This window comes from Homo sapiens, chromosome 11 (assembly GCF_000001405.40).
Source record: "Homo sapiens chromosome 11, GRCh38.p14 Primary Assembly".
Classification (NCBI taxonomy): Eukaryota; Metazoa; Chordata; class Mammalia; order Primates; family Hominidae; genus Homo; species Homo sapiens.
The window spans coordinates 71,916,320-71,936,761 of NC_000011.10; the positions used below are offsets into that span (position 1 = coordinate 71,916,320).

Here is a 20,442-nt window from a genome sequence, read left to right on the forward strand (position 1 = left end):
AAAAGGTCAATACTAAGGAAAAGAGCTATAGAGAGTAACCTCCAACAAAAGAAGGAGGTCTTCAGTAAATGTCCCCTTAGGCTTGGGTGTTCAGGGTATGGTAATGCCAAGCAGGCCAGTCAGGGCCTTCTCATATTCAGTCTCTTGCCTTCTCATCACTCCTCTGTCACAGTTCCACACTATTCTCAGCATGAATTCTATACCTCTCCAGGGACCTCATCAATATCTCATTTTAAGAAGAAGTTACCTGCAGAGTAAGGACCCAGTGGATTACCTGAGATATATATTGGCCCTTCCTGGATCATAAGACCTCAACCTCCCTCACACCACCACGTGCTCTACATGCTCACGGTATCACATTCCGATATCACCAACCCTCCACATCTTTAGTTCCTAACACTGTCCAGTCAGTACCTCACTTTCTCCAAATCATATGCCCCTCCAATGTCACTCTTCCTTTACAACATTACAAATACTTCCAACTTAAAACAGACAAATCCTTATGAGACTGTACATCCCTAGAGGCTAGGAATCAGATCTTATGTTTTTCTGTAGTGCCTAGTGAACAGAGATTTGTATAAATTCAGTAAACATTATATGCTACACAACTATAACCACTATGTAGCCTTCCATCACTTACATAAACATCTATCCTACATCCACACTTATACCCACAAAAACATATTATTGTTATTATTATTATTATTATTTGAGACAGAGTTTCACTCTTGTCACCCAGGCTGGAGTGCAATGGCCCAATCTTGGCTCATTGTAACCTCTGCCTCCCAGGTTCAAGCAATTCTGCCGCCTCAGCCTCCCCAGTAGCTGGGATTAAAGGCACTCACCACCATGCCCGGCTAATTTTTGTATTTTTAGTAGAGATGGGATTTCACCATGCTGGCCAGGCTGGTCTCGAACTCCTGACCTCAGATGATCCACTTGTCCCAGTCTCCCAAAGTGCTGGGATTACAGGCATGAGCCACCACGCCTGGCCACAAAAATATATTAATCAATAAGTGTGTGTGTTCTATATATTGGGCCCTACCGAACCACAAGTTATATATAAATATAAATAGTTCATAAATCTCCATCTCCCCAGCTAGCATGCATCCTCACCACACAAATCTCACACACAAGCACACCATTCCTTAACCACCCTTTGCCCCCAACAGATATAATTAAACCCCTGCACAGGCTCCCTCCCACAGTCTACACCTAATAGCACTCACAGTCCTCTTTAGTACTGCATCTCTGTTTCTCATAAAGACCACCCCCATCTTTTCTGCTTTTGCCCTCTTTACCATCTTTAAACATGCGGACCCCGGAGCGGTTCTTCCCCTGCTTTGAATCAGTTAGAGACATTAGCGTGGTTGCAGGGAGCAGGGTTATGAAAGGTCTGTCCAGGGGCCAGGAAGAATGGCCCACATCAATTTGCAGGAACGCACAGCCACAGTTACCTGGGGACAAAAGGTTGAGAGAAGGATAAGAGGAATGAGATGACTGAAGACAAAGGAATACGGTGGAAGGAGGACACTCCTCTACTTTACAGCTAGCTGAAAGCCAGAAAGGTTCAGCGATATGTGGAGTCCCACAGGGAGCCAGTAACTGGAGTGGAATGAGACTCCAGTCCACCAAATACCAATGTCACACGTTCACCATGTTCCTCCCAGCCAGAAACCTTCCCCTGATTAAAGAGACTTGTTGCTTCTCTGTCCTCTGGCCCCGGTGGAAAGCGCTAAATTCTGTCTCTCTTAATTCCTTGCTAGGGTGCCTGACATCTCTCTGTCCCGACAAAACTGAGACCAGTGGACTGGACAGTTCTAAATTCCAGAGAATTCTAAGGTCAATCTTCTCAATCCATAAACTCCTATTCAGCCTTCTTGGATTATCCTCGCACAGTTCATCTCTCCAGCATCCTCCTGACACAGATATTTACAGGTGTATGCAGGTTCTATTTGTTGGGATTTATTTTTATTTTTTGTGAGACAGGGTCTCACTGTTGCCCAGGCTGGAGTGCAGTGGCATTATCACAGCTCACTGCAGCCTTGACCTCCTGGGCTCAGGTGATCCTCCCACCTCAGCCTCTCATGTAACTGGGACTACAGGTGTGCGCCACCACACCTGGCTAATTTTTGTATTTTTGGTAGAGACAGGATTTTGCCATGTTGCCCAGGCTGATCTCACACTCCTGGGCTCAAGGGATCCTCCCGCCTTCGCCTCCCAAAGTGTTGGGATTACAGGCATGAGCCATTGTGCCTGGCCGGGATTTATAATTACGTCAGTGTCCTAAGGTTTTACCCAGGCCACTAAGATCAAAGCATGGTAGTTATGTTGCATAATTTGAGGAGCGCCATTCACATTGTATTCTATGTGAATAGAGCCCTTGGAGTTCTCCACACAGATCTGCTCCAAGGGCAAGGGCCACATTTCCCTTTGACACCCAGGTAAAACTTATTCCATAAAGGCTGCTCAGCCAGAATGAACTGAGACATGTTAGTGGAGTAGTTAGAGGGGACTGTCATTCCTGTGTTCTTCCTCAAGGTTCCTAGGCCACAGAGAACTCACCCACATCAATGTAGCCAGTGGGCACTGCCCTCTCCAGCTGTAGTTCTACTTTCAATTGCCCACTCTTGTCCTGAGGGCAGCCGAGCCAAGGTCTCCTTGGACTATCTGGGTTTAGCAAGTTCTCTACAGGATACTTGGGATCCTAAGTAAGAGAGGAGGAGAAAATCAGGAATCTCACTGCGCCCAAGGGAAAAAGGATGCCCATGAATGAGGGATCGCTAAAACCCCAAACCTTCCCAGTCATCCTAACATGATAGAAAAGGCACCAGATGGGAGGCCATAGGAATACTGTTATCATGTGCCAAGTGGTTTACAGATACCATTTTTCTCTATCCCATTTACCAGATGACCTCCTTTAATCTTCATAACAATTCTTAGGTGGTTACTATTATTACTTCCAAGTTAACAGATCAATACTGAAGCTGAGAGGTTCAGAAACTTACTGAAGGCCATAGGCTAAATAACCAAGCAAAGCAGAATTTCCAGGTTTCGGAAAGCAGAGCTCTTTTTTTTTTTTTTTTTGAGACAGAGTCTTGCTCTGTCGCCCAGGCTGGAGTGCAGTGGCACAATCTCGGCTCACTGCAACCTCCGCCTCCCGAATTTAAGCAATTCTCTGCCTCAGCCTCCTGAGTAGCTGGGATTACAGGTGCCCACCACCATGCCCAGCTAATTTTTTTGTATTTTTAGTAGAGACGGGGTTTCCCCATTTTGGCCAGGTTGGTTTTTTTTTTTGTTTGTTTTTTTTTTTTTTGAGACAGAGTCTCACTCCGTAGCCCAGGCTAGAATGCAGTGATGCTAGCTCGGCACACTGCAAGCTCCGCCTCCCGGGTTCACACCATTCTCCTGCCTCAGCCTCCCGAGTAGCTGGGACTACAGGCGCCCACCACCATGCCCGGCTAATTTTTTGTATTTTTAGTAGAGACGGGGTTTCACCGTGTTAGCCAGGATGGTCTCGATCTCCTGACCTCGTGATCCGCCCGCCTCGGCCTCCCAAAGTGCTGGGATTACAGGCGTGAGCCACCGCGCCCAGCCAAAAGCAGGCCTCTTTTTTTTTTTTTTTTTTTTTTTTTTTTTTTTTTTTTTTTGAGACAGAGTCTCGCTCTGTCTCTGTCGTCCAGGCTGGAGTGCAGTGGTGCAATCTCGGCTCACCGAAAGCTCCGCCTCCCGGGTTCATGCCATTCTCCTGCCTCAGCCTCCCGAATAGCTGGGACTACAGGCGGCCGCTACCACGCCCAGCTAATTTTTTTTGTATTTTTAGTAGAGACGGGGTTTCACGTGTTAGCCAGGATGGTCTGGATCTCCTGACCTCGTGATCCGCCCGCCTCAGCCTCCCAAAGAGCTGGGATTACAGGCGTGAGCCACCGTGCCCGGCCCAAAAGCAGAGCTCTTAACCACCATGATACGCTATTTCATTTATAAGATTTTTTTCTTATTTTTTTTTGAGATGGAGTTTGCTCTTATTGCCTAGGCTGGAGTGCAATGGTGCGATCTATGCTCACTGCAACCTCCGCCTCCCGGGTTCAAGCAATTCTCCTGCTTCAGCTTCCTGAGTAGCTAGAATTACAGGCATGCACCACCACGCCTGGCTAATTTTGTATTTTTAGTAGAAACGGTTTCTCCATGTTGGTCAGGCTGGTCTTGAACTCCTGACCTCAGGTGATCTGCCCACCTCGGCCTCCCAAAGTGCTGGGATTACAGGCGTGAGCCACCGTGCCCGGCCAAGATGTTTTCAAGGACATTTATTTATCTTTATAGTTATTCTGTGGGATAAGAAAGTCAAAGATTTTTATTCTAAGTTTATAACTGATGCTTAGATATAAAGTGATATTTATACTCAATATCAACAATAGTGATATTGAATATAAATTCTGAGTTCTAACCTAAAGTCAGATATTTTTTGGTTGAGCGATCTTGGGTAAACTACTTTCTCTCTCTGGGTCAAAATTTCTTTCCTTCTGTAATTTCAGCTACTTGGGGGGCCAAGGCAGGAGAATCGCTTGAACCTGGGAGGCGGAGGTTGCGGTCAGCCGAGACTGCACCACTGCACTCCAGCCTGGGAGACAGAGTGAGACCCTATCTCAATAAGTAAATAAATAAGTAAATAAATTTCTTCTTCTTTTTTTTTAGAGACAGGGTCTTGCCCAGGGTGGAGTGTAGGGATACAATCATGGCTCGCTGCAGCCTCAAATCCCTGGGAGGATCACTTGAGTGATCCCCCTGCCTCTGCCTCCTGAGTAGCTGGGACTACAGGTGTGTGCCACTGCACCTAGTTAATTTGTATTTTTAATGGAGACAGGGTCTTGCTCATTACCTAGGGTATAGTGCAGTCGCATAATCACAGCTCACTGTAGCCTTAACTTCCCAGGCTCAGGATCCTCCCACCTCAGTCTCCTGAGGAGCTGGGACTACAGGTGCGTGCCACCACACCCAACTAACTTTTGTAGAGATGGGGCTTCACCATGTTTCCCAGGCTGGTCTTCAACTCCTGGGCTCAAGCAATCTGCCCGCCTCAGCCTCCCAAAGTGTTGGGATTACAGGTGTAAGCCACCGCACCTGGCTAATTTTAAAATTTTCTGTAGAGATGGGATCTTGCTATATTGCTCAGGTTGGTCTCCAACCCTAGCCTCAAGCTATCCTCCCACCTCAACCTCCCAAAGTGTTGGGATTACAGGTATGAGCCCTGTAATCTAAATGTCTTCATCCATAAGTAAAAGAGAGAGACCAGACTCATGGTTTTCAACCTTTTTTGTTTTAGCAATAAAACCCTTTTAACTGAAATCTTACACTGAGGGGGGTGTGTGTGTGTGCACGCGTGCATGTTTTTTTGATAAATAAAAGGAGAGCTCTGGTTAAAGCACAAGTAGGGAGGACATACTTGTCCCCCTCTCCCTTTCAACTTATAGAAGTGGATCTCTAAAGAGTACAGTGGAAAACACGAAGTTTGAAACTAGCTAATGTTCTCTAGCATTTTATAAGGCTAAGAGTCTATGAAGCAGTTGGGCATGGTGGCTCACACCTGTAAATCTCAGCACTCTGGGAGACCAAGGCAGGCGGATCATGAGGTCAGGACTTTGAGACCAGCCTGGCCAACATAATGAAACCCCATCTCTACTAAAAATACAAAAATTAGCTGGGCATGGTGGTATGTGCCTGTAATCCCAGCTACACAGGAGGCTGAGGCAGGAGAAACACTTGAACTCAGGAGGCAGAGGTTGTGGTGAGCCGAGATCACACCACTACACTCCAGCCTGGGCAACAAAGCGAGACTCCGTCTAAAAAAAGTAAAAAGTCTATGAAGCAAATTGTTTAGCCTGACCATGCAGGTAAGGAGGGTAAGTGTAATATTAATTTTCTTTTTCTTAGAATAGGGGTTAATATATTAGTTCCTAAAGATCCTCTAAGGGTTTTTTTGTTTGTTTGTTTGTTTGTTTGTTTTGATACAAGGTCTTGCTCTGTCGCCCAGGCTGGAGTGCAGTGGCACAATCATGGCTCACTGTTAGCCTCAACCTCCTGGGCTCAAGCAATTCTCCCATCATGGCTTCCTGAGTAGCTGGGACCACAGGCACATGCTATCACACAGGGCTGATTTTTTATTTTTTGTAGAAATGGGATCTCCCTGTGTTGCTCAGGCTGTTCTTGAACTCCTGGGCTCAAGAGATCCTCCTGCCTTGGGCTCCCAAAGTGCTGGAATTACAGGCATGAGTCCCATGCCTGGTCTAAGGATCTCCTTGAAATGTGTGGGGATGTTTTTGACTGTCACAATGACTAAGAAGCCTGGGGGCCAGGGATGCTAAGTATCTCATCATGCAAATAATATTGCTACAAAATACAGACTTATGGCCCCAAATGCCAATGGCACCCCTTGAGAAAGACCAGGATAACAGAAGGGAAAGAGGTGGAGTAGGAGTAAATAGAGCAGTGACAGGAGAGGAAAGGGTGGGAAGTCCCTCAGAATCACCACATCAGATCAGGCCTGGTCTCAGGGCCTAGGATCTAGCTCTAATTGGGATATTGTAGAACTTTTAGGAAGGAGGCTGAGATCACACTTGATGCTGGTGGTAACCTCACAGGTCTGGGATTACCTCAAGTGTCCTACCCTGTTCTAAATGATAGAATGATCAAACTCCCCTTCTGAGGATCCTGGTGCAGTTTCTGGGCTTACAGCTTTGCCAGTGCCCTTCAAACTGGGCGGAATCCTGAGGGTGCTGCTTTCTGTACTTTCAACTTCTGAGAAGACTTCTTTTGCGCATCCTGCACTTCTGTGGGAACAACCTGAGGGCAAGAGCTGTTTCTTCTCTTAGACTCTGAACTCACAATGTCTCTTCTATTAGATTGGGAGTTTCCTGAAAGTGGAGCCAAGACTCCTATTTTTTTCACTCCTTTCAGTTATTAAGAAAACAAATCATGCCTGCTGATTAATATACCTGAGAAGAAAATGATACCACATGGCTGATCTTCACAGGAGCCATGGTGGGCCCAGCAGCTGTTTCAAGTACAAGACAAAAATGCTTCCTCTCAAGATTTCTTCTGTCACTACTTTGGCACTGACTATGTGTTAGCTTCCAGAAAAGCAAGAATCCTCACATTACTCCTGAAAAAGAGAACAGAAGAAAAACAAACTAGCCATGGCTGTGGTAACAGGAGTTACTTGCAGCAGTCAGTTCATTTCTGTTTTGTTTTTTTTTTTTTGAGACAGAGTCTTGCTCTGTCACCCAGACTGGAGTGCAGTGGCGCAATCTTGGCTCACTGCAAGCTCCTCCTCCCGGGTTCACGCCATTCTCCTGCTTCAGCCTCCCAAGTAGCAGGGACTACAGGTGCCCGCCACCACGCCCGGCTAATTTTTTGTATTTTAAGTAGAGATGGAGTTTCACCGTGTTAGCCAGGATGGTCTCAATCTCCTGACCTCATGATCCACCCGCCTCGGACTCCCAAAGTGTTGGGATTACAGGTGTGAGCCACTGTGCCTGGCCGAGTCAGTCCATTTCTGATGACAAACATGGGCCTGGTGGGAGTGGTGGCAGGGAGTAGGTTTGGATCAGCTGATGAGGCTCCAACTCGAATGAAACCAGAAGGCAGCACAGCAGCAAGTACAAAATAATATATTAAGATGTTAATGTTGGATTTATATATAGGTGAGTTCTCAAGGGCATGAATTGTGCCTTAAATTGTACACCTTTATATCACTAGAGCCTAGTACATAGTAAGGATAGGCAACAAATGTTTGACTAAATGTATGACACAACTTTTCTTCTCTTAAAATTAATCTTCCTACATTTAGCTTTTCTTGAAGTTATTCCTCTACTAGACATCATCAATGACTTGCTGATTTATTGCAAAACCCTTGCTAAGCTGGGTGTGGTGGCGTGTGCCTGTGGTCCTAGCTACTCAGGTGACTAAGGCAGGAAGATCACTTGAGCCCAGGAGTTGGAGGCTGCAGTGAGCCATGACGGTGCCACTGCATTCCAGCCTGGGTGACAGAGTGAGACCCTAACTCTAAAAAAAAAAAGTTCTGGACCGGGCGCGGTGGCTTATGCCTGTAATCCCAGCACTTTGGGAGGCCAAGGTGGGTGGATCACGAGGTCAGGAGATTGAGACCATCCTGGCTAACATGGTGAAACCCCGTCTCTATTAAAAATACAAAATATAAGCCTGGCGTGGTGGTGGGCGCCTGTAGTCCCAGCTACTCGGGAGGCTGAGGCAGGAGAATGGCGTGAACCCGGGAGGTGGAGCTTGCAGTGAGCAGAGATCGTGCCACTGCCACTGCACTCTAGCCTGGGCTACAGAGCGAGACTCCGTCTCAGAAAAAAAACAAAAAAAAAAGTTCACATGGGTATTTGTACTTCGTGTTTTGCCAAACATTTTATGTAAAATTTTAAATATATGCAAAAACACACATATTAGTATAATGAACTTATGCATCCATCACCTTACTTCAACAATTCCTTGCTGAAAGGAGTTTTTAAAGTTGTCTGAGTGTCTTTAGGTGGAATCTCTTCAAATATTTATCCCTGTCCATTTTATTCATGTTTACTACCCATCTGGCTCCTGAAAATATGAGTCCGTGACTCTTGATATACTCCTGGCCATAATGGTCTTTTTCTTACCCTCCCCACCAAAACTTTTTTTCCCTTTTCTCCACGATTTTGCTCATGCCATTGCCTCTGCTTGGAATGTTCTTTCTCTTTCCCATTTACCAAATCTAATGCATCTTTGGTGCTCAAATGTCACCTCTCCTCTGCTTAAACAGCTCAAGGTGACAGCTCCAACCTGTCAATTCTCACTTAGCCTTTAACAGAGTGCCTCACATTACAATTATATGGGTATGTCTTCTTTGTCCCTTGACAAATTGTAAGCTCTCGGCGGACAGGTTTCACGTCTGAATCATTTCTGTGTACCCAATGTAAAAGGGAGAATATAGTTCCTGATTTGCAAATGTCTGTTGAACGAATGACCATAAAAATTGTGCTCCAAAGGGCTCACAGTCATAAAGCATTCAAAATGGGGTAGATTGCAGCAATAGCAGTAACAAGCTCTTAGTGAATGCCATCTAAACATCAAGCAGTCCTCACAGGCCACAGCCAGTATGCGGCTAAGGCTTCAAAGACAGAAGAATGAAAGATGAGTCCTGAGTCTCCTCTCTAGGGCTCAGATTAATTAAAGCTCACTATTCCCACTACGGGAACTCACTGGGCACACAAAAATCTTTCCTCTTCTGCTAGATTTTAGAGATATAAAAATAATAAAAATAAGACATAGTCTCTGAGCCAGGCGCGGTGGCTCACGCCTGTAATCCCAGCACTTTGGGAGGCTGAGGTGGGCGGATCACGAGGTCAGGAGTACAAAAAATTAGCCGGACGTGGTGGCGGGGGCCTGTAGTCCCAACTACTCGGGAGGCTGAGGCAGGAGAATGGCGTGAACCTGGGAGGCGGAGCTTGCAATGAGCCGAGATCACGCCACTGCACTCTAGCCTGGGCAACAGAGCAAGACTCCGTCTCAAAAAAAATAAAAATAAATAAAAAGACATAGTCTCTGTTTTGAAGAAACTCACAGCATATTTTTGTGATTTGATGCGAAAAGCCCATCTCTCATCATCAATGAACACTTGGGCCAGGCATGGTGGCTCAGGCCTGTAATCCCAGCACATTGGGAGGCCGAGGAGGGTGGATATCTTCAGCCCAGGAGTTCAAGATCAGCCTGGGCAACATGGCGAAATCCCATCTCTGAAAAAAAAAAAAATTAGCCAAATGTGGTGGCGTGTGCCTGGAGTCCAAGCTACTCAGGAGGCTGAGGCAGGAGGATTGCTTGAGCTTGGGAGGCAGAGGTTGCAGTGAGCTGAGATTGCACCATCACACTCCAGCCTGGGAGACAGTGAAACCCTGTCTCAAAAATAAATAAATACATAAATAAATAAACACTCTTGGTTTGGCAATCCTGACAATCAAACTGCTTGTAGTTCTCACAAGATTAAGTTCTTTGAGAACTCCTTCCCTTACAAAAACTGTTGCTGCCATTTTTTGGTAATTACTCGTTTACCCTGTATGCCTTCTCACTAAGTAGCAAGCTCTTTGAGGATGTGGATTTTTGTCATGTTCATGATCTCCCACACTTCAGAGCAGCATCATGATTCTGTCAGAAACAATAAAGTAATAAATGATGTTCAGGAAATTGGTTGACAATGTGAAGAAAAATAAAAGTAGATCCCTACCTCACAACGTATCTAAAAAATTATACCTAGGCTGGGCGTGGTGGCTCACACCTGTAATCCCAGCATTTTGGGAGGTTGACGTGGGTGGATCACTTGAGGTCAGGAGTTTGAGACCAGCCTGGCCAACATGGTGAAACCCTGTCTCTACTCAAAATACAAAAATTAGCTGGGTGTGGTGGCACATGCCTGTAATCCCAGCTACTGAGGAGGCTGAGGCAGGAGAATCACTTGAACCCGGGAGGCAAAGGTTGCAGTGAGCCAAGATCACCCCTCTGTACTCCAGCCTGGGTGACAAAGTGAGATTCTGTCTCAAAAAATGAAATAAAATAAAATAAAATAAAATAAAATAAAATAAAAGACAAATAATTATACCTAAAAGGCTGGGTACAGTGGCTCACGCCTGTAATCTCAACACTTTGGGAGGCGGAGGCTCAGGAGGATTGCTTGAACCCAGGAGTTCAAGACCAGCAACATAGTGGGACCCCATCTCCACAAAATATTTTTAAAAATTAGCCAGGTGTGGTGGCACATGCCTATAGTCCCAGGTACTCACAAGGTTGAGGTGGGAGAATTGCTTGAGCCTGGGAGATGAGACTACAGTGAGCAGTTATCACGCCACTGCACTCCAGCCTGGGCGACAGAGCCGGACCCTGTATCACTCAGGCTGGGCACAGTGGTTCACACCTGTAATCCCAGCACTTTGGGAGGCCGAGGCGGGTGGATCACTTAAGGTCAGGAGTTCGAGACCATGGCCATGACCCCATCTCTGCTAAAAATATGAAATTTCCCCAGGCGTGGTGGCGCGTACGTAGTCCCAGCTATTTGGGAGGCTGAGACATGAGAATCGTTTGAACCCAGTAGGCGGAGGCTGCAGTGAGCCCAGATTGAACCAGTGCATTCCAGCCTTGGTAACACAGCGAGACACCGTTTCAAAGAAAAAAAAAAAGCACTCAGATTAAAAAACAAAATGAAACACAATACAATACTATATAGTCATGGCTACATATAATTATTAAAAATGGACTGGGAGAACACAAGCTAATTCTAATTCATAATAGTTGCTTCTGGAGAGGATGAGAGGGTAATAGGCTTGAGAGTAGAAAAAACAGGTAAGTTTAACTTTTATTGTATTATCTAGCTTTTAAAAAATAAGCAAATAAATCATAATGCCAGTAGTCAATTTAGGGTGATGGGTGTACAGTATTTACAATATTCTCCGTATTAAGTGTCACAAAATAAAAATGATTATTTTTAAGTAAATGGGATGCCTGTGGATGATGTAGATAATTCCCTGTAATTTTCTGTTGGTCCCAATGTAAAGCTGACTTTTCTAGACGTTCTGTGGGCTCACAGGCCATCCTAGTTCCATTCACCAGACAGATCCAGGCGGACGCCCAGAGGCGTGTGAGCTGGGGCTACAGGCTTGCAAGGTATCGAGTTCACCGGCTGCTGAAAAATCAGTTATGAAGGTATACGTAGGGGTGGGACAGTGAATGGTGTATAAAAAGGAGGGTAAGGCAGAAGCTGGGGCCGCAGGATGTGGGTTAGAAAAGTGTGCCGAGGTGTGTGAACTGGCATGACAGCCTAAGTAAGACGCGGAATGTGGGTGCCCTGGAGGTCCCGCAAGGCTCTTCAGCTCTCAGTTTCGGGAGCTCAAGCCGCACCGCTGCTTTCACAGCTCATCGGGAACAGGCTGCTCAGTTCATTTCCTTGATGGCCACCCTCCTCCCTCTCGGCCACTCCCCTCCCCATCAACAAATCCCAACGCCCCTCACCCGGGACCGTGGACCTCGAGGAGCCACCGTTGCCTCGGATCTCGGACCACCAAACCTATTCTCCCGCCAATTCGGCCTTCTGACCTTCGCCTTCTGACCCCGAGAGCTACTCTTCCGTCTTCCGTAGCACAGGAATGCGTTCTGGGGCTTCAAGAAGCTGCTGTTTTTGAAAATGAGTCCTACCGAGGCAAGATGGCAGGTGCTGCAGCCAGGAAAATACATTTCCGTGTGTTTTAATATTTATTTTCACTCACTACAACTCTTTCGTGGAGGGAGCGGAATTTAAACTTCCGGGTCAGCCTCAGTGCAGCTTGGGAAACGTAGTTCCTAGTCCCCACGTCTCGCTCCTTGGAGCCCAGACTGAGGGAGCGTCGCGAAAGTTGCCCGTTTTGGAACGCTCCCATTTGGCTCTCCAAAGGGAAGAATTGGTTAAATAGTTGCACTGAAAATAATGCGATTCAAATTTCTCATTTTCCAAGAACGCTCCCTTGCTGAAGCTTGCAAGGGCACGGTACTCCCCTCTCCTTGACCCTGAAACGTGCAGCAAGTAGATAACCTCCTGATCCCTGACAGTCTCCGCCTGTGTTGATGCCCCGCCCCCTCTGCTGGAGTCCGAGCCGCCGATTGGCTAGGAGCACTTGAGCAGCGGAAGCAGCTGGCTCGCGCGGGGACTGCGGTGAGGGGGCGAGCCGTGAAGATGGCGGCAGTGGTGGAGGTGGAGGTTGGAGGTGGTGCTGCTGGGGAACGGGAGCTGGATGAGGTAAGCGGAGTTGAGAGACGAGGAGAGACTCAACCTGAGACTGAGGGGAGGGGCAGTGAGGTATCGGGAGGTGGGGGTCTTAGGAGAGAAGGGAAAGATCCTGAGAGGGAAGGAGCTGACTAGGGGGCGGGTGCGTGGAGAGCGAAGTCAGAGGCACTCCTGACTTGGGGACTCCGAGGCGGCCTTGGGAGTAGAAGACTTGCATTAGCCTCAAGGGTGAAGATGGAGGACAGAGAGAGAGGTCGGAGGGGTGGGGGTGTTAAGATTTTGTGATTACTAGCTGGGTGTCTTAGGGTAGGACCGAAGGGCTAAGAGGTAGTTTGAGTTGGAGGGACGTGAATTTCTTCAGGGGAAGGCTGGGCTTCTACTGTGGGAGAGGACTCTGTCTAAGCCTAGGGTGGGGGTTGGGGACACAGACCGGGAAAGAGTGCTAATCCACTAGTAGTATAGCTTTGAGTTATCTTAAAGTTGGAACTGTTTTATTTATCGTTCCATTCTAAGACTTTGTATCTAATGCATGCTCAGTAAAGTTTTGGCCAACGAATGAAGGAACAAGTGGATGAATAAATGATTGTATGCCGGAATTCATGCATTTATTCACTTAATAAACATTATGACTTTTGCTCCGGGTTCTGGGCCAGGTGCTAGGGAGACAAGGGGCCCCTCCGTTGAAGAGCCCACAGTCTAGTGGTGGGAGACAGACAAGAAGACTAGTCATTGCATTAGAGATATAATGGTGGCACTGAGAAGTGTGCAACATTTCAGCTTGGGATAGGGAAGGCTTCCCGGAGTTGCTGAGTTTTAAACGATAAATAAGTGTCTCTCTCTTCTTCTGGATTTATGAGTTCCTTGAAGGTGAGCTCCTTGAGATTGTATGTTCCCTTTACCTATCTAATAGGCATTTAAAGACTGGTGTATTAAAATACCAGTGGTCCTTGAAGGAATCACTAGGAGGAAGGAGATGTTGAGTGTGAAAGGAATGAAGGGACAGGGCAGAGAAGCAGAGACAGAGGTGAAAAGATTCTGAAGCCATGGAGACATTGATAGCTAGTGGTGTTTGTGATCTTGCACATGCCAGCATATGGGCAAAGACATCACAGGAATAGGAGGAAGGGGATTGGTTGTCAGAGATAGAACCAGTGAGATCTCTGAGGGGTCAGAATCTTAGAGGCCCCTTGCTGTGTGTTGGGTGTGGGAAGAGTGGGGAGGATTGGGGATGATTGAAGATGAGGTTCAGAGAAAGGGAGAAGTGGACTTGGGAAGCAATAAGACTGTTGCCTGGTAGTGGGATGAGTTGGAGGAGTTGGATTACCTGATTGGGATCATTAAGGTGGGAGGAAGGGACTGAGAAATTGACAGGTGATCACAGCAGGGGGATTTTTAAAGAAGTGTTGTAGTCTTCTACCTCCCAATCACTAGAGACTACAGGTGTTTGGATACCAGTTGGTTGGTTAGGTGGAGTGGTTGTGGAAATGACCTCCAAGACCCCTTCTAGCTTTTACATTTCTGTGATTACAGTTGGCTGTGGTTCAGTGAGATATATTTGAAGACACTTTGGAAAGGGTAAATACTGTATTGAAGTTCTTATTTAAGGTTTGTTAGTCATGGGCTCTCCCTTGAGACAATTACGTATATCTCAAAGCTGTAGTTACATATGTCAGGGTTCATTGAGATAAACAGCAGAAGTTTTGGCAGAGGAGAAAATAACATTTTCTTTTTTTATTTGAGATGGAGTTTCGCTCTTATTGCCCAGGCTGGAGTGCAGTATTGCAATCTCAGCTCACCACAACCTCTGCCTTCTGGGTTCAAACAATTCTCCTGCCTCAGCCTCCTGAGTAGCTGGGATTACAGGCATGCACCACCACGCCCGGCTGATTTTTTGTATTTTTAGTAGAGACAGGGTTTTTCCATGTTGGTCAGGCTGGCCTCGAACTCCTGACCTCAGGTGAGCCGCCGATCTTGTCCTCCCAAATGTGCTGGGATTACAGGTGTGAGTCACCGCGCCCGGCTAAGAAAATAACATTTTCATTAAGACATGTTTGATTTTTGTTTCTTAGCTTTTCTTTATTGCTTGAAGGACTTGAGAGCGTCTAGTAGTATAATAGACTTTACAGAGTATCATGCATAGGAGTTAACTTTATATGAAACCACTAGCATTCATTCCAGGAACCTTGTTACTTGTTTCATTTCCTGAGAAAAGGTATAATCTGTTGTCTGGAAATTCCGTGTGGACTGGTTCTATCTTTTTTGTTGTTGTATGTTTGAGAAAGTAAGCTCTGAGAAGCAGAACAGTCATCCCTTCAAGCTCCAAAAATAACAGAGGTCTGGTCTGGCAGACCTTAGTTGGTATTCAGGTTTCTACTAATGTCTCCCCAGCTGTTTCTTTGCAGCCTTAGCTTGTGAAACAGCAGGTGAAATCCGTCTTTAATATGTAATTATGGGGTCTACTGTGTGTTATGCACTGATAATTCAAAGATGAGTAAGACAGGATCTTTACCAATTTACAGTCGAGTGAAGAGACATGCAAATAGCGTATTATAATACTAGATAATTGCTGTAATGGAGGCATGTAACAAATGCAGTGGGGCACAAGAGATCAAGCACTTGAGTCAGCTAGGGGGAGTCAGTAAAGTCTTTATGATAGAGATGGGTTTGAGCTGAAAAAGGTTGGGTTTACAAAAGAGCAGTGGTTTACATGTGGCATTAATATTGCCCCCTGTGTAGCACTTTCTGTTTTATTGATAGACTCTAATGTGGAGCCGAGATTATAATTGGGTAATGGGTAGCCTGGCTAAGATGGAGTTGGTGTACTTTTCTACTTCTTTGGAAAGAAGTTACACGCTGTGTATATTCAGGATATTATACCTATGTTTTCCAATATTAGATGCCATTAGCATGATACGTAGTCTGGAATGGCATTCATTCATATTCCTTTTCTCTTTTTTTGTCTGGTTTCATTAATACTTTCTCTAGAAGTTGAGACGTAATTTAGGCTTTCCTAATGGCTTCTTTCTTTAGAGGGATAAATAGAAAAGAGGGTTTAGGAAAAGAGCTACCAGTAGAAAAGGCTACTATTTATTCAGCTCTTAACCATACACCAGCCTCTGTTTAAAACCCTTTACCTGCATCATCTCATTTATTATTAACAGTAGGCATGTGAATTAGATGGAGTTAACCCCATTTTATAAATGAAACTGAGGCTAGAGAGGCTAAAGAACTTTCCTAGGATTCCACAGTTTGTGAATGGGGAAGTACAGCTTCTGATCCAGGCCTGCCTGTGCTATATGGAGCTTAGCCCATGCTATACTGAGCACCTGGGTTCCATTTCTTACTCCACTATTTGTGCTCTAGGGGGTGGGAACTTTAAAATTGTATCGTCTTAATCATCTCATGTAAAAATTGATACCGTATATTTGATAAGTGGCTGTGATTCAAAAGAGCATTTTGAATCTCACATTTGTGAGGAAGGTTTTATTAGTATTCCCTATTTGTGATTGAGGAAGCTGAGGTTCAGAGGATTTGAGATAGGCCAAGAGTCTTGAGGCTACCAAGTGGTGTCACAAAGATTTAAACCCATGTTTCCAGATTCCAGAGTGTTTGTTTCCCTTCATTTTAAAGACCCAAACTCTTTTCTTTGTGTATAAAATTTCCATTTTCAAAACATAAAGCAGCATGTCATCCCTGAGGGGATCAAAATGAGGGTTAACCAAAAGAATATTGGTTTTTCCATACAGGTCCTTTAACTTACTGATAACTGGTGGATTCTGCTGAACCCCTTTTCAGGAGGGATGATTAGCCTGTTGGTAGTTAGGGAGAGGAGAGATGGGCCTAGCCAGCTCAGCTCAGGTATTAAACTGGCCATGATGACTGCCTAAGCTCAGTTCTGTCTCTCAGCCTGCCAAAGTACAGCATGCTTGAGATGCTAGTAGGATAAGATGTGGGTACCAGTTAGGTGGCCCAAAAGCCAATCTACTCCTGGAGCTAGTGATTTCCTCCTCAAAGGGGAGGCTAACCAACCTCTGAGAGGAATTAGATGCACCCTTTTGGCACAGAAAGCTAGCTTGGGAATTAAGGTAAAAAAGCACTTCAATACCCAATAGGGCCAGCCAGGGCATTGCCTGGCTAGTGCCTGTGAATCTGGATGTGTCCACTCTCAAGTCCTATTTATCTGCCAAAATGATGTGAAATCATGCATATCAGTGAGGAGTTTCTAACTCAAGCCAGAGTTCAAAGCAGGTATCCCAGCCTGCAGCTAACTTGAGGTATTAATATTATTGCCTCAAGTGAATAATTTACCTCTCTTTGGCCCTGTTTTGCTCTTGTTAAAAGAGAAGACTGGACTAGATTGGTGGTTTTTAAACCTTTATTTAGTCATGAAACCTTTTATTCAAACAAAATTTCACTCTGAAGCCTTGTGGTCCTTGAATGGATTCAACAGAACCCCTAAGGTGCTTGAAGCCACCCTTTGAAAACCAAGGATTTTTCTGTTATAGTCCACTGATTGGGTGACCCCACTTCATGTTCCCTCAGCCCGCTTGTACTTTGTCTAGGCTCACCAAGCATTATAAAATTGTCTGCCTTCCTCACTAGACTGTAAGCTTCGTGAGAGAGCAGAGTCCAAGTGTATCTTGCTCACCATTGTATTCTCTTCACTCTGCATGTTCCTGGCATACAGTAGGCACCCAATAAGTATTTGATAATCGTTGTTTTTGATTAATAGTATGATAGCTACCATTTACTGGATGTTTGTGATATGCCAGCTCCTCTGCCTAATGGTATATGCTTTTTTATTAAATGTTTACGACATCCCCGTGAGAATTGAGTTATTGGATGAAATCGTCTCTAGCTCTTTCTGGCTCTAGCACTCTATGTACTGTTTCTAATTACTTCCGGGCTTTGTTGGTGCTGTCCAGTCTGCCTAGAATACCTTTCTTTTCCCTTATTGCCTTTTGAAATTCCACCTGCCCTTTAAAGTTCTAGCTTGCTTGGCTTCTTGGACTATTCCGATCTACACTGCTACCTTTTCCCCCTGCCTTTTATGGTTTTCTCTGTTTAAGTTTGTTCCCTCATTTCTCAACTTAGTCCTCAAACTTCTGAAACGTCTGTGTGCCAGGCACTTTGGTGTGCCTGATAATACCAAAATGGATAAAGTGTGATAATTGTCCTCAGAAAGTTCACAGACTGGTATGAGTAGAGAAAGAGTGATAAGTACATGCAAAATATGTCACAGGTGCTGTGATAGTGGGGTGGGTGCAGTGGGCACATCAAGGAGGAAGTGGCAGTCAGTGTTACGTCTCCTCTTCCCACTAGGTTGGTAAACCCCCAGTGGGCAGACTGTGGAAGTTCCCATCCCTTGCTTCTTCAAGCAGTAATCACTGGTTTTTTGTTTGTTTGTTTGTTCTTTCTCCTGTGGTTCTCTCCCTATAGACATTTAGTAAATGTTCCTTGTTGCCAGAGATTTTCTTCTCTAGAGATTTTTGGTCCAAGCCAATATCTTACTGAGGGATCAAGGCATATGTGACTGAAGTTTAGTCTTGGATATCTGACTACCTCTGGATTTTTTTTAGGCATGTAAAATGAGTGGTGGCAAGTGTAGTGGGGAAAAAGCCATAGGGTAGTAAACAGTGGGTTCATATTCTAGACTAGGAATAGCAGATTTGTTTTATCTCAGAGACAGCCATCTGATCATAGATGCTTAGAAGCCTGTGTCGAGAAGGATTCTGAGGCCAGGGCTTAGCAGAAAAGAGTGCTGAGGGTGAAATAATACAGATTACTTATTCTGTGCCTAGTCCTGTGCCAAGTGTTCCAAATGCATTCTTTTTTTTTTTTTTTTTTTTTAGACAGTCTTGCTCTGCCACTCAGGCTGGAGTACAGTAGAGTGATCTTTGCTCACTGCAACCTCAGCCTCCCAGGCTCAGGTGATTCTCCCACCTCAGCCTGCCAAGTAGCTGGGACCACAGGTGTGCACCACCATGCCTGGCTAATTTTTGTAGAGACAGAGTTTCACCATGTTGCTCAGACTGGTCTCGAACTCCTGGACTCAAGCAATCCACCTGCCTTGGCCTCCCAAAGTGTTGGGATTACAGGCATGAGCCACTGCGCCCAGCCCTTAGATTCATTATTTAATTTAATACCATAACCTTATAAGATATGTACTATTATTATTATCTCATTTTATAGATGTGGAAGCTGAGGCATAGAGAATTTAAGTAAGTTGCCCAATGTTATACAGCCAGGTAAGTGACAGAACTGGGGTTCAAATCCAAGACTACTTCAGTGCTTGTGCTGTTAACCACAACGGGCAATATGAGTACTCTATACTGTCCATCCTGTTCTATGCTAGACATTTCCATTATGTACATTTGGGTCTTCCTTTCCGGAGGTGATTTAACTGGAGTCATGGTATTTGTCTTTTCCACCAGACTGTGTTCTCCTCGAAAGGAAGGCCTATTCATTCCTATATCCTTTGTGCCTGGCATAGAGTATGACTCAATAAATGCTTAAATATGTGAACTCAGGAAAGATTCCAGTCCCTCTGTACCTCAGTTTTTAATCTGTGAAATGATAGGTTTGGACTAGGTGACCTTTGAGATCTCTTGCAGCTTTGAAAGACTTGGATCACAGAGTTTTATTTTGGCCATGTTTCTTATAACTCTCATCAGGTACTGAGTAAATACTAGTGAATGACTGAATGAATGAATGAAGACATAATATTCTTTTTCTTTTTTTTTTTTTTTTTTTTTGAGATGGAGTGTCTCTGTTGTCCAGGCTAGAGTGCAGTGGCGTGACCTTGGCTCACTGCAGCCTCCGCCTCCTGGGTTCAAGGGTTTCTCCTGCCTCAGCCTCCTGAGTAGCTGGGACTACAGGTGTGTGCCACCACGCCCGGCTACTTTTTTGTATTTTTAGTAGAGACAGGGTTTCACCGTGTTAGCCAGGACGGTCTCCATCTCCTGACTTTGTGATCTGCCCACCTTGGCCTCCCAGAGTGCTGGGATTATAGGCGTGAGATTATAGGCGTAAACTGCTGCGCCTGGCCTATAATTATTCTTAATAATCTGTGCTAATAATTAACATTGGAATGATAGAATTAAAAATGGTGATGGGGAAGGAAAAGACAAAAAGGCTTACATATAACCTCTTATTCCATCACCTTTGACTTTGGAATTCAGTCAAAACCTCATGCTCTGGCAGATACCCTGGCAGATTCCCATTTGAATTCCCATTCCAATACCTGCCACCCCCAGCTCACCCTTGCTTTTTTTTCAGGTCACTTTTTTATTTTTTAGACAGAGTCTCGCTCTGTCACCCAGGCTGGAGCGCAGTGGCACGATCTCGGCTCACTGCAAGTTCCGCCTCCTGGGTTCACACCATTCTCCTGCCTCAGCCTCCCGAGTAGCTGGGACTACAGGTGCCTGCCACCACGCCTGGCTACTTTTTATTTTTGTATTTTTAGTAGAGACGGGGTTTCACCGTGTTAGCCAGGATGGTCTCGATCTCCTGACCTTGTGATCCACCCGCCTCGGCCTCCCAAAGTGCTGAGATTACAGGCGTGAGCCACTGCGCCCGGCCTTTTTCAGGTCACTTTTTTATTATGACTTAATAACACATCTACTTCCAGAAGGAATTTAAGATGTCAT

At 45.4% G+C, this 20,442-nt stretch overlaps 2 protein-coding genes and 1 long non-coding RNA gene across 12 annotated transcripts in view, besides 1 other annotated feature; 1 reads left to right on the forward strand and 2 right to left on the reverse strand.

The window, feature by feature from the left end:
- XNDC1N-ZNF705EP-ALG1L9P (XNDC1N-ZNF705EP-ALG1L9P readthrough) overlaps window positions 1-12,275 on the reverse strand; it is a 123,614-nt gene extending 111,339 nt beyond the window's left edge. The window contains exons 1-5 of one of the 3 annotated variants that reach the window (NR_172895.1): window positions 12,046-12,275; window positions 6,990-7,156; window positions 2,566-2,707; window positions 1,302-1,457; window positions 846-988 (exon numbers count right to left, since the gene is read on the reverse strand). This is a non-coding gene — a long non-coding RNA (XNDC1N-ZNF705EP-ALG1L9P readthrough). The remainder of the gene's footprint in view (window positions 1-845; window positions 989-1,301; window positions 1,458-2,565; window positions 2,708-6,989; window positions 7,157-12,045) is intronic. The other 2 variants (NR_172894.1, NR_172893.1) reach the window with 2 other exon arrangements.
- The window catches only part of XNDC1N (XRCC1 N-terminal domain containing 1, N-terminal like), a 63,086-nt gene extending 50,811 nt beyond the window's left edge, over window positions 1-12,275 (reverse strand). Inside the window, exons 1-5 of one of the 2 annotated variants that reach the window (NM_001375848.2) lie at window positions 12,046-12,275; window positions 9,614-9,785; window positions 6,990-7,156; window positions 2,566-2,707; window positions 1,302-1,457 (exon numbers count right to left, since the gene is read on the reverse strand). In NM_001375848.2, coding sequence (NP_001362777.1) covers window positions 1,302-1,457; window positions 2,566-2,707; window positions 6,990-7,034 — 343 coding nt within the window. In that variant the 5' untranslated portion in view covers window positions 7,035-7,156; window positions 9,614-9,785; window positions 12,046-12,275. The remainder of the gene's footprint in view (window positions 1-1,301; window positions 1,458-2,565; window positions 2,708-6,989; window positions 7,157-9,613; window positions 9,786-12,045) is intronic. The other variant, NM_001375847.2, reaches the window with a different exon arrangement.
- Window positions 12,108-12,417: an enhancer, noted in NCBI's record as "active region_5171". NCBI's record gives its function as "activates an Ori minimal core promoter by ATAC-STARR-seq in GM12878 lymphoblastoid cells {active_cell/tissue: GM12878}" and the evidence as "EXISTENCE:reporter gene assay evidence [ECO:0000049][PMID:35858748]".
- RNF121 (ring finger protein 121) overlaps window positions 12,727-20,442 on the forward strand; it is a 68,552-nt gene continuing 60,836 nt past the window's right edge. For all 7 annotated transcript variants that reach the window (NR_024148.2, NR_024147.2, NM_018320.5 and 4 more), the window contains exon 1: window positions 12,727-12,805. Coding sequence is in view for 5 of the 7 variants with exons in the window: in NM_018320.5 (NP_060790.2) it covers window positions 12,743-12,805 (63 nt within the window). In the remaining 2 variants the exon portion in view is untranslated. The remainder of the gene's footprint in view (window positions 12,806-20,442) is intronic.